Genomic DNA, 15,353 nt, shown 5'->3' with positions numbered 1-15,353 from the left:
TTCTCATAGTAATATATCACATGGCAAGAGAACAGTTTGTCAGCCACCGGAATTAAACCCACAAGTAGAGTAGGTCCTTTTTCCATTATAAAAAGTTCTACTCATTTTAGATTTAGATCTATAGTTGCAGCCTAGCTAATCATTGGCTCTCACTGTCCTGTCTGTGAACAGAGTTGAAATTTGGAAGGAAAAGAAACAACTATAATTCTCATTCTGTTTAGCTTGTAGCCAGGTAAATGCTGAGATTAAAAAAGAATAACAACATTCTGGGAATTCCTTTCCTTTCAAGAACACCGGAAGAACTATGACCATCTTTTAAAAATGTATTAATGTACCAAGCTTTGTTTATGATTAGCAATCGAATGTTGGTCAAAGTATTATACTGGTTTACACAGCACACAAGCACACATTTAGAATGTAGATTTAAAACACATATTTTATTACCCATTAACAGTTTGTACTTTGACATAGACTTACATGGTATACTGACTTTCAATAATTTTTCACTATTGGAGATTTGAAAAATATTTTTAAAGCTTCTATAATAATGCAGCTAAAAGATTTAAGTTATAATTAGAATTCAAAAACAATATAGCTTACATACCAAGTTATTTAGCTTTAGGCGAAGAAATGTGTTCTCAAAATTCAGTTTCTCTACTTCTTTTTGCAATAGCATCTTTTCAGTTGTAATTCTTCGAGAATTCTCTTTTTCTCTACTAAGAGCCTGAGCTAATGCCCTGTTGTTGTGCTTTAAAGATATTTTGAAAATAGAAGAATTATCTGTAAAAAGATTTTTAAAATGAGTTAATATTCAGCTTATACCTTAAGAAATTTTTATATTCCTTAGTAAAACATAGACAAAATGCATTTCACAAGTTTTAACTGAAGATTAGAAAAGGGAATAACAATACAGATGTAGTTTTGAGAAAAATAAACCCAGAGTTTAGAGGTGAGGAAATGAAAGCTAGACAGAAGATGAAGAATTCAAGAGTTGTGAGGAATGCAGAATATGTATAAAAAAGGAGTAAGAGGACTGCAGCACAGACATAGCATTCTACATAATTAGATCAGTCACAAAAATTAAATCTTGATACTTGCTGCTCTACCTAATTTCCTACCTTTGACTAGCAGACAGAATGGAGAAACTGATTCTGCAGCTCTAACTGGAAATGTCCCATAGGAATGAGGGTAGCCAATCTGGGAAAATTCTAAAGCCAGCTTCTACAGCTCCAGAACTGAACAAATTACTTAATACTCCCAACGCCCATTTTTAAACTTTGAGTGATAGAGCCATACTTTCTCTAATGTTAGATAGATAATCTAAACCCCACGGGACCTTTTACTGCCATCTAAAAGATTCTACCTCTTATTTCTAGGCATCTACTGCAATCTAAACTCGACTCCTCTTTAAAAGCACTATGTAAATATGATTTAAATCACGCCTGAAATTGCTTTTCTGTTGGAAGCAAAGAAATTTCATTGTGAATTCCCTGGTAAAGCTTACCATAAATATAGTGTGTTCCCTTAGTACATTTAAAATATCATTATATTTTCATAATTTTAACTTACATTTCACTATTCAATAACATATGCCACTGAATAAAAGTCTAGTGTATGTGAAATAAGTTTTATAAAATTTAATAACATTTTATAAGTACTCAGGGAAAACTTGGGATTCTGCAAAACAGAGTCCAAAACAGTACTTTACCTTTGGCACAGAGAGAGTAGTTTTGGATAGCCATTCTTGGCATAGCAAATGGAAACTGACTACAACAAGCTTAGGATTTCCAGAAGATAAAGAGTAATAACATTTTCCTGTTGTACTCCTCAAAGTCAGCATATTCCTTCATAACAGGGGGTGTGGAATAGTCTTGCCAAAGGGAGTAAGCAAGAGCCAGTGTAAGGAGTGGCCCTAGAGACCTAGGTGGGAGCTGCATCATGATTTACAGGCACCCAGGAGGCTGGGTTGTTTTAGAAGGCACACGTGATTGTCCTTCGCAGGAGCTATATCAGCAGATAATGTGACTAAAAGGATACCTCCCCAACTCCTGCTAAGATGGGTATGAACACTGAGATAATTTTCAGAAGTAATGAAAATTTATCTTGGGGAGTTTTCCCACCTCCTTTTTTTTTTGCCCTTCTGATGCCTTAACTCCAGAATTCATGAAATTCCATTTCCAAAGTGCTCAGTGTCTTCATAAGATTGCCTATATAAAGTCACATGTATACACACACACACACACACACACACACACATATACATTATATATATACACACGTATATATAAGCACCCAGTGTGAGCCCACCTCCTCAAGGCTACCCATCATCCAGTTGCCACAACATGCCAGAACAACCTGCTACTCTTACTACATCTGTTCCAGAAAAGTCATGTTGGTAGTTTTTTTCTGCGCTGTAGAAAGTAGCTGTCTTGGGTCACTGCAGCCTCACTGCTGAAAATTCAACTGTGTCACACTTAGGGTAAATCATCAAAACCACCCAACTAACAGGAGTTGAAGGAGATAGGAAGGATCAAATTTAAAAAGTTATCAGTTAACAAAATGGTCATTTTAGTAATTTTCTGTACTTGATAAAATAAGGTAGCAAATATATAACAATTCTGGGGAAAAGTTAAAACGTGAGTGTATTTTAAAACTGATGGCACTTACTTAGTATTTTTGTTTTTATTTTTGAAGCAAGAGAAACATTCAACTTAGTAGTCTTTGAAATTCTTTTGTCTTTCAAATGTCTCTTAATTCCTGAGGTAAAAAGTGAGCCAGTTTCCATCACTGGGCACTCCATCACTGAAGTGAAAGAAAAAAAAATCATAGTATTGATTAATAAAAGAAAAAGTATAACTGATAAATACATTTTAAAAAGTAACAATCATGACTTAATATACTTTGTGCATTAAGTATTTGCTAAACTTTACATAAAATCTGAAAGTATGAATGTAATCAAAAGTGGCTTAAGGTATAATCCAAAAAGGTAAATGATTATTTTTTTCATTTAAGCCTACATTAATCATCTATGTACCAGGTGCAGGGGAAAGATGACAGGATATGGTCTCTGCCCTCATGGAATGCATGGTACAATGCGGGTACAGACAGTGTTTTCATACAATGTAAGAAGTATAACCTTAGAGATATACACAGAGTTTAAAGGAAGTACAGAAGAGATATACCCAATCCAAGGTGGGGAAGGGGGTTGGAGAAATAGGAAATCTTAAATTTGTCTATTAGATTTATGGCCTATTATGGAAACAGGAAGATAAAGAAATCATTACATTATAGTATTACAAGAGTAATGGCTACAATACACAATGCAGAGGAGAAGCGATTAACTGTGACTGGGCAGAGGAAAAGGATCAGAAATAGCTTCACTGAGAAGCAGCAGTTGATGTTGAGCCATGTAAGACCAACCTCCCCATGCCTCCATTTCCTTCCCAAGCCTCCTTGCCTCCATCTGAAGAGATCTGAAAAAAAAAAAAAAACAAAAAAAAAAACAAAAAACTCTGTCACCTGCACCTGCCTAACCCTCAATACTCAGCCTCCCCACCACTACCTGCCTTGAGTCCACAGGACTCAGCTCACTATGTCAATCCAGGACTCAGCTCACTTTATCAATCATGGCAAGAATCCCTCAACTCCTGGGTCACGTTCATTCCCCTCACTCGAATCCCCTAAGTGCTACACATTCCTCATCTGGTCCTGTGGTAAGCTGGAAAATGGTCCCCCAAAGTTATTAGATCCCTTTAATTCTAAACCTCATGTGGAAAAAGGGCCTTTGAAGATATGAATAAATTGAGGATCTTGTAATGGGGAGATTATCCTGGATTATCCAGGCAGGACTAAATACTATCACAAGAGTCCTTACAAGAGACAGCAGAGACAGGAGTGATGCAGCCACATGCCAAGGACTGCCAGCAGCCATCAGGAATTGACAAAGCAAGGAACAGATTCTCCTGAAGAGCCTCCAGAGAGAGTGCAGCTGGGAATACACCTTGAGGTGGGAAAACCAGTGATAACTGAATTTAGACTTCTGGCCTCCAGAACTGTGGGGAAATACATTTCAGTTGTTTTAAGCACCTCATTTATGATAATTTGTTACAGCAGCCAAAGGAAATGAATACAGCCTGCCTATCTTACCCTTGCCAGACTCATGAGGTCCTCTAGAACTCACATTCCATCATCAACCAAACCTCTACAGCCTCAATCTCTTCTCTGAATGTTCCCTTCATCTTCTTGAACCACCCTCTCCCCTGAGGACACAGATTCTCCTGCAGTCCTGTCAGGCAGGTGCTGTTTTCCCTCCCACACCCCTTCTAGAGGCTACAACACATTCATGTCTGCAGACCATTCATCTTCCCTCCTCCCTAAAAATTCCCATCCTTGAATATACTGTCACTAGACTCTATTACCCCTTTCCCTTCACTGCTGTTATCAATCCCTGGGTCACTCCTCTTTATGAATTATTTCATATCCTCACTCATTGTTATTCTCTCTCAGAACACTGAAGCAACCTGTGGAGAACTTTCTCAAAACTTCCATTGCAATTACCTACATACCATACCTGTATCTGTGTATCTGTTTTCTCTCCTGTTGTTAGGGATCAACTGTGTTCCTAGATACGGATCCATGCACTGGATCCCATGCCTTCCTGCCTCCTTAAAGACATCACTCCAACAATTCTTTCCCGATATCATCAATTTTTTTCCTTTTCCACTGGACCATTCTCATCAATATACAAACACACTGCTATTTCCTCACCTTAAAGAACCCTCTTTTGTTCCCACTTCATACTCAGACTACCACTCCAATTCTCTGCAGATCTTTACAGCAAATCTCCTTGAAAACATTGTCTATACTCAGTTTCCAACTTTCTCATAAACCTACTTCAATCAGGCTTTCACTTAGACTATTCCACCAAAACTGCTTTTTTCCAAGATCTCTGATGACTTCTGTGCTGCTAAATCTAATAGTCAATTCTCAGTCTTCATCTAACTTGATCTATCAGCAGCATTTTAATGTGGTTAATTTCTCCTTCCTCAAAAATTGTATTTCCTTGGCTTCCAGAACATCAAACGCCTATGTTTTTTTCCTACCTACCTACCTACCTGTTCCTCCTCTGTCTCTTTTACAGGTTCTTCCAACCTCTAACGGGGTCTTTCCTTGAACTTCCTCTCTTTATCTACACTCCCTTCTTTGGTGATTTCATACAGTCTCATCACTTAAAATACCAGCCAGATGCCAAGAACTCCATAATTTATGTCCTCAGTTTGGATCTCTTTCCTGAACACTGGATTCATGTATCCAGCTGTCTACTCCACAATTCCACTTTAATAACTAAAGTAGATGCATCAAATTTAACTTGTCCAAACCTGCTTCACTCAGAGCATTTTCTATTTCAGTTCATGGTAATTTCATCCTTCCAGTTGCTCAGGCCAAAAATCTCTCTCATATCTCAACTTACCTTCACAATATATTTAGAATCTGACCAATTCTCAGTATGTCCATTGCTGCCAACCTAGTCAGAGGCACTACCATGTCTCACTTGAGTTTCTGCAACAGGCTTTGACTCCCTATTTCCACTGCTGCTGTCCCTACAGTGAACTAATCTATACAATCTAAAACTCTCCCATGGTTCCCACTTCTCTCCAAAGTCCTTAGTACGGTCTCTCCACTAGCTCTACACTTCTCTAATTTGAACTCCTCCTCCTCTCCCTCTATCGCATTCCCCTCAGGCCATACTGGCCACCAAAATCTAGCTGTTTGGAGCATATGCCAGGCATTCTTCAGCCTCAGGTCCTTTATACTGGTTATTCTGCATTTAGAATAAATGCTGTTTAGAAACATCTTCCTCCAGATATACAAATGGCCCATTCACTCTCCTCCATCAAGTCTCTTCAAATGTCACCCTCTCAGTGAGGTCACTTAAAACTGTAGCTCCAGGCTGGGTGCAGTGGCTCATGCCAGCAATCCCAGCACTTTGGGAGGCTGAGGTGGGTGGATCACCTGAGGTCAGGAGTTCGAGACCAGCCCAGCCAACATGGTGAAACCCGTCTCTACTAAAAATACAAAAAAATTAGTTAGGTGTGGTGGCAGGTGCCCGTAATCCCAGGTACTCAGGAGGCTGAGGCAGGAGAAATGCTTGAACCCAGGAGGTGGAGGCTGCAGTGAGCTGAGTGAGATCAAACCATGGCACTCCAGCCTGGGTGACAGAGTGAGACTCCGTCTCAAAAACAAAAAAACAAAAAACAAAACAAAACAAAACGAAACAAAACTGTAGCTCCTTCCCTCAACATCTATCACTATCTAACATACTATAGATTTATTTATTGTCTGTCTTCCCCAACTAGAATTTAAATTCTAGGAGGTCATGGATTTTTATGTTTTATTCACTGATATATTCCCCAGCGCATGGAATAGCGCCTTACAAATGATATCAACACAGTAAATATTTGTTGAATGAATAAGTAAGTCTTAGAAACTAAAAACTTGTCAGGCATCAAGATTAGGAAGGGCATTCCAGGAAGAAAGAATGGCATGTGTAAATGCATGAAAATGAAACATTTAAGAAAATACAAGTGGTCCCTTGATGCTGGAATGCTATGACCTGATTTCCCTGCTTCCCTTCACAGCAAAACTCCTTTAGAGAGTTGTCTATACTTGATGTCTCCAATTTATCTCCTCCCAGTCTCTCTTGATCCACTACAATGAAATTTCTGCTCTCACCACTACTATATGGGAACTGTTCATTAAGGTCACTGAATTACTATGTTGTTAAATCAAATACTGTGGTCAGGCCCAGTCTCTTTTTACTTGATCTGTGAAAAGCATTTAATATCAAGTCATTCCTTCCTTTTGAAATACGCTCTTCACTTGGTTGCAAAATAGCACATTCTTCTGTTTGTTCTGAGGCAGGATTTTCTCCTGCCTCGCTGACCACTTCTCAGTCCCTCTTGCTGGTTATTCTTCATCTCCCTAACCTCTTACCACTGGAGTGCCCCAGATCTCAGTCCTTGGATCTCATCTCTTTTATATTTACATATACTCCCTGGACTATCAGCCAGTATCCTGGCTTTTAAATCTAAATGCTGATAACTCTCAAATTTGTGTTCCCAATCTAGACTTTTCCCTTGAACTCCAGATTTATTCATCCAACTGCCTACTACGCATCTCCAACTAGGATTTCTAACACACATCTCAAATTTAACATGTCCTAAACTCCCCCCACCCCAACCTACTCCACCATGTCCTCCCTAGCTCACTTAATGACAACTCCATTCTTTCAGTTGCTCAGGTCAGAAAGTTCCTTTCATATCCCACATCTATTCTATGATCAATTATGCTGACCCAGCTTTCACAATATATCCACCTGGGCTACTTACCACTATTTCTACTGCTACCACTTTGATTCAAGTTGCCATTCTCTCCCATGTACATTATTTGCTATAGCTACGTGAATGGTGTCCCTGCTTCCATTTTCTCCCCGACTATCTATTCTTAACCTAGCAACCACAATGATCCTTTTAAAGCTTAAGTAAATTCATGTTACTCCCATGTTAAAAAAAACTCTCCAGTAGCTTTCCATCTCACTCAATCTTTAAAATGGCCTAGAAAGTACTATACAATTTGACACTTCTCTTCCCCAATTAATCATCAGTGAACCTTTCTAATCCTTTTCATTAATCTTTCTCTTGCTCAATAATCTCTGGCCACACTGCCTACCTTGACATGCTCTAAAGCAGAAACTTTTATTCCTTCTTCCCTTTGTATCAACTCTTCCTTCAAATGACCACAGGGCTTGCTCACTTCCTTCGAGCATTTGCCAAAATGTCACTTTCTTAGTGAGCCTTCCCAGTCCAAACTACTTAAAAACTGCACACTTACCCCCATTCTCCCCTTCTGTTTTATTTTTCTCCGTTAACTTATCAATGTCTAAGATAAAATTAAATAGTTAACTTATTATCTGTTTTCTCCTACTAAATTGTAAGTTCAATGAGGGCATAAACTTTTGTCAAATTTGTTTGCTTCTGTACCTTAGTACAGAAATGTGCCTGCCACATAGCAGCTGCTGGATAAACATTTGTGGAAGAAGTGACTATGAATGAATGGAAGAACTTTCCAATAGAAAAACCGCCCACTCTTGGAATGGGTCTCCTTTGAAAGTGTTAAGCAGATGTTGGGAGGTGTCAAGCAAATAACGGAAAGATGGTTTTAGAAGAAATTTCTGCAATGGGGAATAAGTTGAACCAGAAACCTTTCAAGATTAAGGCTCAACAGTTCTTTTAAACGTTTTGCCAGGAAGAAACTTTAAAATCAAAGATCACTATCTATCTCAAAGACAGTAGAACACAGAAACTCCCCACAAACTGTTGCATCTCACACACCTGAAAGGGATCCTAACATAGAAATCTAGTTCATCTCCCAAAAAATCCAGTCTGGAATATCAAATCTCACTTTACTAATTAGGAAACCACAGCTGGACTGCCCTCCCCAATAAGCTGGTTCTGACACAATTCCTTAATTTAATAAACGACACTGTCAATCGCCTATTCAAATCCTCATGCCAGAAATCTGGGAGTGTTCCTTGACACTGCCCTGCAACCCCCTACATCAATGACCTCACCAAGGGAAACTTTAGGAGCCAGAACCAGGCATTTGGGGTACTGTTCCAGGGTGATTTACCATATAGACACTGAGACATTATGATAGTGATTACAACTGTGTTGGAGCTCCAGTTCCAACGTTTCATAGCTATGTGATCTCAACACCTCTTCGTCTCAATTTCCAGATTTATAAAACCATAAAAAATAAGGGCATCTCCTTGTAGGGACTAAATGAGCCAATGTATGTACAGTGTCTAGTACGGGACCTGGTAAACTATCAGCACTCAATACCAGCACTCTGTGACACTTGTCCGGCCAGCATCTCGACTATCTCTAAATACGAAATACTCAGTTCCACATCCAATTCTCCTGAATTGGATACCTCATCTAAAAAATCATTGTCCCTATTCTCTACTGAAATCCTACCTGTACATCAAGCAGCTCAAGTTCTAAGTTCCAAGTTCTCCCTAGTCTTCCATCACCCCTTCGCCTTCAGCCAGCCTCTCCAAACGAGAGGGCTCCTTCGAGAACTTTGGCACGCAGTCCCTAACATTCATTCCGCAGACACGTACTGAGCGCTCACAATGCCCTAGAAACTGTTCAAGGGAGTAGAGCAGTCCCAGAGACAGAAATATCTTCCCTTAAGTAGCTGACCTAACTGGTGGCTCTCCCCGCTCGCCCTGCCGGACGCTCAAATCTCAGAAACAAGAGGCAGCGACTCAAAGCCAAAACAGGACTCCGTCAACGAACCCCTCGTAGCCGGAGAGGGGCCGCCGTCCCGGATCCCGGAGGACAGAGGGCGGAAGACGAGCCGGAGACCGAGGCGGACAGCGCCTAGAGAACCGACTCAAGAACGACACCGATCCCGACAGGGAGAGGGCGGTCACGTCAACTGCCGCAGGCCACTAACTTACCTCTCTTTCAGCGTGGGGCACCCCCACCCAGCTCCGGGAGCTCGGCGAGCAGCAGCGGCTGCGGCTTGGGTTTAAACGCCACAGCCGTTGGCGGTTGCCCCATCAGCCAATCGGGTCCTGCGAAGATGGAGCAAGGGAGGGCGGTTACTAGGAAGTGAAAGGCGGAAAGGGCGGGACGCCGCTGCTAGGGCAGGAAGGGGCGTGCCCAGGCGAGCCGGGGGCGGCACAGTCTGCGTGACAGGGGTGCTCTTCCGCCCTGTGTTGGTGGCGGTCCGCTGTCTCCTGAAGCGTTGATGGAAAAGGAAACTCTCCTCTGACATTCATTATCAATCACATGTCTGAAAGGCTTGACAGCCACCTCAAGTCTGTTAGAAGGTTTATGTTGTTTACTGGGATACTACCCACCCACATCTTACCATTTCTTCTGCATCCTTGCATTTCCAAGTGTGACGCCAGCACATTTAGTTTTCACTTAAAAGCTCTCCCCGTTTTTCTTTTAACTTTCTGGGGGAAAAGCAGCAATGACATTTCGTTGCAAACCCCGGATCTCATTAATATTTAGGTCTTGCACTAATGGTCTGTTTTAGCTGAATATACAAGAATGACGTTTTCCATTATACACAACTACATTTTAAAAATGTATTATTCACCTTATATTCCATGTCAATTCGCTTATTTTTCGCAAATTACTTTCATAATTTTTACAAAGAATTTGGAGAAACTACAAAGAATAAAATTTCCTCTTTGTATGCCATTGGACTGAAAATGAAAATAGCTTGTTAAATCAAGGTTCCAATAATTGATGATACAGTAATGCAGTCAGCTTCATATTCTTGTCAATTTTTTGTTCATTCGAAGACATTTGAGAATTACAGCTTTCCATTTTTACTTTAAAGAATCTAGACAAATGATGCAAAACATGCTTTTGAGTTAAGATCTTTTAGTCTAATATAAATCACGATCAGTCTCCAAACAGATCTGGTTACATGAATCTTGTGTAAGTAGAAAAGTATTTACTGATTGTCCAGCTGCTAAAATTCCAGAAGACAGTGGTTTACAAAGTAATATACTGGTTATAGAAATTTATGCTTACCTAGGAGTTAACTAGCACTATATCTTGTTTACCCAGCCTGACACATTAAATGCTCAATGTATGTTATATGTTTTTTTAAATGAACCTTGTAGTGACTGTGCCATTTAATGGTTATTTAATCTTGGCCAAACTACTTAATCTCTCTGGGCTTCTGTTTCCTTATTTGTAAAATGGAGTTAAACAGCATCCCATATATTTTTATGATGGTTTCAATCAATGGGCCCTTTTGTTCAAATACATTAATATTGCTCTCTTCCCAATGGACACATTTTGTAGTTACAGCTTCAAAACCAAAACAAATAGAAAAGGGAGACAGGAAAATCAGAGGTAGAAGAGATGCTAAAACATTTATCAAGACATGAATACCAAGACCTCTTTAAAAAAAAAAGTGCTAGCCGGGCGCGGTGGCTCACGCCTGTAATGCCAGCACTTTGGAAGGCCGAGGCGGGCGGATCACGAGGTCAGGAGAGCGAGACCATCCTGGCTAACACAGTGAAACCCCGTCTCTGCTAAAAATACAAAAAATTAGCCGGGCGTGGTGGCGGGCGCCTGTAGTCCCAGCTACTCCGGAGGCTGAGGCAGGAGAATGGCGTGAACCCGGGAGGCGGAGCTTGCAGTGAGCCGAGATCGCGCCACCGCACTCCAGCCTGGGCGACAGAGCAAGACTCCGTCTCAAAAAAAAAAAAAAAAAAAAAAAAAAAAAAAGTGCTACCTTATCTCAGAGCAGTTGAAAGGATTTAACTGCTTTGTAAATTGTAAAACCTCTTGAAAATGTAAATTAGTATCATATACAACCATAAACCTAAAAGTATAATTAGTCGGGTTAAATTTAACGTGATCTCAGCTTGCTTTTTAGTTATTTGCCTTTTGCCTCTTGGTATAATGGATAGAGGCAGGAGCCCTGGATGAGAAGTCTGGAGATGCAGTTATTATAGTTGTGGCTGAGCCATTAGCTGTGTGTTCCTTGTTTCAAGTATTTTATCTGTAAAAGAAACTAGTTACATTAAATGAGCTCACAGACCTGTTGTGATACTCTCCTGCACTGGGCACTGATTTTGTTCCTCTCCATCTGTTTTCCTTTATTCTTATACTTGTTAGTTGCCTGATTTTCTCTACCTAAGCATAGATTCCAGTCAATTAAAATTTGATTGTCCTAAGACACAATCACTCACACCAAAAAAGGGATGGGAAGGAAAGGAAAGAGAGAAAGTGTAATTGCCATAAAACAAAAACCAGAAAAACCCTCTTTAACATATCGGCATTACTAAAACAAAAATCATCCAAGAACAGTCCCTGAGCAGGAGCCAAGTAAAGAACACTGCAAATCAATAAAGCAATAAAACAAAGTAGAAGGAGTGTACTTACATCTTATGAAACCATCTGACCTGATCATCTGTACCAGTCTGGCAGGATGAATTGCACCAAGGAAAATTAACCCAGGCTGATAGAAGCAGAAAAGAATATTGGGTGGGTTAAAGCATTTCTGGGTAGGATAGAGATACAGGCTTGGAAAATAAGGGGAGCTTGGCAGCAGACGAGCACCTAGCCATGGTCATGCTACCAAAAATAGCCCTTTGAGGATGCAGCTGATCTTGTACAGCCAACAGTGGCACTAGATGCCGCCACTGGGACCACCACTGCTGCTGGGACCACTGGGACCACCACTGCATATGGGAAAGTGGGCATAGTTGTGCTGCAGTTTTCCCATCACTGCTGCTTGGCATTACTAGCTCCTGTTGCTAGACCTGGTTTGGGTGTGTCTGACTCGTCAAACCTGAATCATATGCTACAAGTCCTGCTGCAAGGGAGTCCTGAACAGCCTGTGTCTGGCTTTTGTTGTTGTGTTGATGATGATGATGATTATGATGATGGTGGCTTCTTAGTGAGAGGTAACCTAGACAGACTCATAAGGTGAGGAATTACCCAAACTCAGGAAGTGCATTTTGAGCTAGGCGGCCAAAAGAATGACAAAGGTTCATTTCAGTATTTTATGCAACTTTACTACAATAATTACTTTTATTTTATTTAATAGAAACCAGTTAAATAAGCTGTGCTGGGTGATGGATAGCTAATCATTATAACAGCAGCAGATAATATTTATTAAGGGCTTATCTTGTCCTAGACACTGTGTCAAGCCCTTTAAATGCCTTTTTAGTTCTCAAAATGATCCTATGTGGTAGGTACCATCATTTCCTTTTTAAAGTTGAGGAAATTGTCCCCACCTTTCTGGGTGGAACCAAGAAAGCACCAAAAATTTAAGTAACTTCTACAAGGTTTAGTTAAGTGGTGCAGCTGGTATTTGAACCCAGGCAGCCTGGCCTGAGCCTCTCAAGATAGTGAGAGAATTACTTTGTCATTTGTCACTTTGGTTTTGAGGCATGGTATCCATCATGCTAATTTCCTCATGTTTCCTGCTTGTCAGCCTCCTCTTTTTCTTCAATATACGTTTATCAGGAGCCCCTTTGCACCTGGCATTTTGCTGAGGGTAAAGATGGATGAGGCAAATGTTCTTTCCTTTTGGGAGACAGTAGACAAGCAAACAGTCCATTCCTGTATATTGTGATATGTAGATGTTGAGGTTTGCAAAAGATGCCATCAAAGCATTTAGGAAACAGGACAGCTGCGGTGACTCACACCTGTAATCCCAGCATTTTGGGAGGCCAGGGCAGGAGGATCGCTTGAGCCTAGGAGTTGAAGACCAGCCTGGGTAACTTAGCAAGACTCTTGTCTCAAGAAAGAAGGAAAGAAAGATAGAAAGAAGGAAGGAAGGAAGGAAAGAAAGAAAGAAAGAGAAAGAAAGAAAGAAAGAAAGAAAGAAAGAAAGAAAGAAAGAAAGAAAGAATATTTAGGAAACAAAGAGCAGCTCTTAAAAGAAGAGGGAAGACAAATCTTCAGGGGAAGTCACTTAGCGGTGGAACCTCGAAGGCCAAGTTGGGTGGGATTCATTAGGCTGACAGCACATAGCCTGTCCCAGGAAGCAGTTCAGAGCTGCTGGGGCCTAGGACGCATGTGGTCAGATAGGGGGAGCAAAGGCTGAGAGGTTAGACAAAGTCAAGTAACAGAAGGATCTTGGGTGCACGCTAAGAAGCTTTACTTTGTGTGGACAATGAAGGAAAGCATTGGGTGTAGGGGAGGGAGCAGTGCTTAAACTCTCAAGAAGTTTAAGAAAAGGGAGTGATAAAGATCCGATTAACTCTAGAAAATCCAGGATCGATGTTGGGGATAGATGGAAGGGGTCTTTGAGCCTTGAGGTGATTCAAGAACATTTCTGTGGTTTAGGCAAGGGCAGGGAATATGTAACAGGAGCACCAAGCTTCCTTATGTCTGACCAAGGTGTATGTGTGTGTAGAAGGGAGGCTTGTCTGGAAAGGGATAAAATAATCAGGGAACTTGGTCTACCACTTGTCCAGCTAGATAACCTCTAGCCGTGGTTCTCATGGCGACTTTTTTCTCTACACTACTCCAGTCCAGATGTTGGATGACACTGAGAGACTGGGGTGTAGTCTACTTCTCAGCCTCCACCCTGTGCCTCTGCAGGAAGTCCGAAAAGCTTAAAGTACTCCTTTACTCAATATCTCCACTCATAAAATCCAAACCATACAAAGTGGAGGCTTGAGGAAGGGGCCTGAAAAGATAGCTGCTGTACTCACTGGCTTTACCAGTGGACTCACAGTTACATGTACCACGCTGCTGGCATGGTCCTGAAGCCCACGTCTCCAGAGTTATTTCCATATGGACATTCCCTGGCTGCTGGATGGGGTCCCAGAGACCCCCATACCCTTCCTCATCATATAGCCTTCCCTTTTCCACTCTTCATTGAAAATGCAAAGGAATAGCAGCTGTGGAAAATAACTCTGCTATTTAGGAGATCTAGTCAGAAATGTCCAGTAGGCTCACAGAAATAAGAAATATGGAGCTGAAAAGGGATACTCAGATTTGGGAGTCAGCAGCAAATAGTAATTAGAAATCACAAGAGTTGATTAAGTTGTGGAGGAAGAGTGTGTAGAGGCACAAGAAGAGTAGAAGGTAGAATCACGGTGAACATCAATGAATGGAGGAAAGATGAAAAGGCAGCAAGAGAGGCAGTGAGAGGTAGAAGGAGACACGTGGGAGGGCTGAGGGAGGAATGATGGTTGGGAAGGGACTGCCAACCTGGTCTTAAGCAGCAGGAAGACCTGAGTGAGAACAGTCCTGGGGTTTGACAGTTAAGGAGTCATTCCTTTTGCAGCAGAGAGGATGCAGAGATGAGAATAGACAGTTCTTTGAGGATCAAGAAAGAAGTAACAATAGCTACAGGGGAATGAGGTTGGAGGGGGGGTTTGTATTTGTGAAAGGAAAATCTTGGGGCCTCAAAATTACTAAGCTAAAGGGAAAAGTCAAGGTGGAAACTGCTCAGGACAAAACTTTCCTCCCACTCTATTCAAAGTCATCCCTCTGCTCACTGAGATAAATGTACATTCTGATTGCCTCCTTCAGAAAAGCCTATCAGAAACTCAAAAGAATGCAACCATTTGTCTCTCATTTACCTGTGACCTGGAAGCCCTGTCCCTGCTTCAAGTTGTCCCCACCTTTCTGGGTGGAACCAATGTACTTCTTACATATATTGATTGACGTCTCATGCCTCCTTAAAATGTATAAAACCAAGCTGTGCCCCGACAACCTTGGGCACATGTCATCAGGACTTCCTGAGGCTGTGTCACAGGCCCGAGTCCTTAACTTTGGCAAAATAAACTTTCT

General features: G+C 41.1%; 1 protein-coding gene across 10 annotated transcripts in view, besides 1 other annotated feature; it reads right to left on the bottom strand.

Moving 5' to 3' along the window:
• The window catches only part of SGO2 (shugoshin 2), a 57,955-nt gene extending 48,321 nt beyond the window's left edge, over positions 1-9,634 (bottom strand). For 2 of the 10 annotated variants that reach the window (XM_017003452.3, XM_017003454.3), the window contains exons 1-5: positions 9,524-9,634; positions 3,875-4,000; positions 3,421-3,473; positions 2,668-2,802; positions 605-780 (exon numbers count right to left, since the gene is read on the bottom strand). In XM_017003452.3, the coding sequence (XP_016858941.1) occupies positions 605-780; positions 2,668-2,802; positions 3,421-3,473; positions 3,875-3,909 (399 nt within the window). In that variant the 5' untranslated portion in view covers positions 3,910-4,000; positions 9,524-9,634. Of the gene's footprint in view, positions 1-604; positions 781-2,667; positions 2,803-3,420; positions 3,474-3,874; positions 4,001-9,035 lie in introns of all 10 variants that reach the window. The other 8 variants (XM_005246344.5, XM_047443502.1, NM_001160033.1 and 5 more) reach the window with 6 other exon arrangements.
• Positions 9,651-9,700: a silencer, noted in NCBI's record as "silent region_12226". NCBI's record gives its function as "represses an Ori minimal core promoter by ATAC-STARR-seq in GM12878 lymphoblastoid cells {active_cell/tissue: GM12878}" and the evidence as "EXISTENCE:reporter gene assay evidence [ECO:0000049][PMID:35858748]".

The sequence above is a fragment of the Homo sapiens genome, chromosome 2 (assembly GCF_000001405.40).
Source record: "Homo sapiens chromosome 2, GRCh38.p14 Primary Assembly".
NCBI lineage: Eukaryota > Metazoa > Chordata > Mammalia > Primates > Hominidae > Homo > Homo sapiens.
The sequence above is the reverse complement of the archived record's forward strand: the minus strand, read 5'-3'. Positions and strand labels throughout refer to the sequence as shown.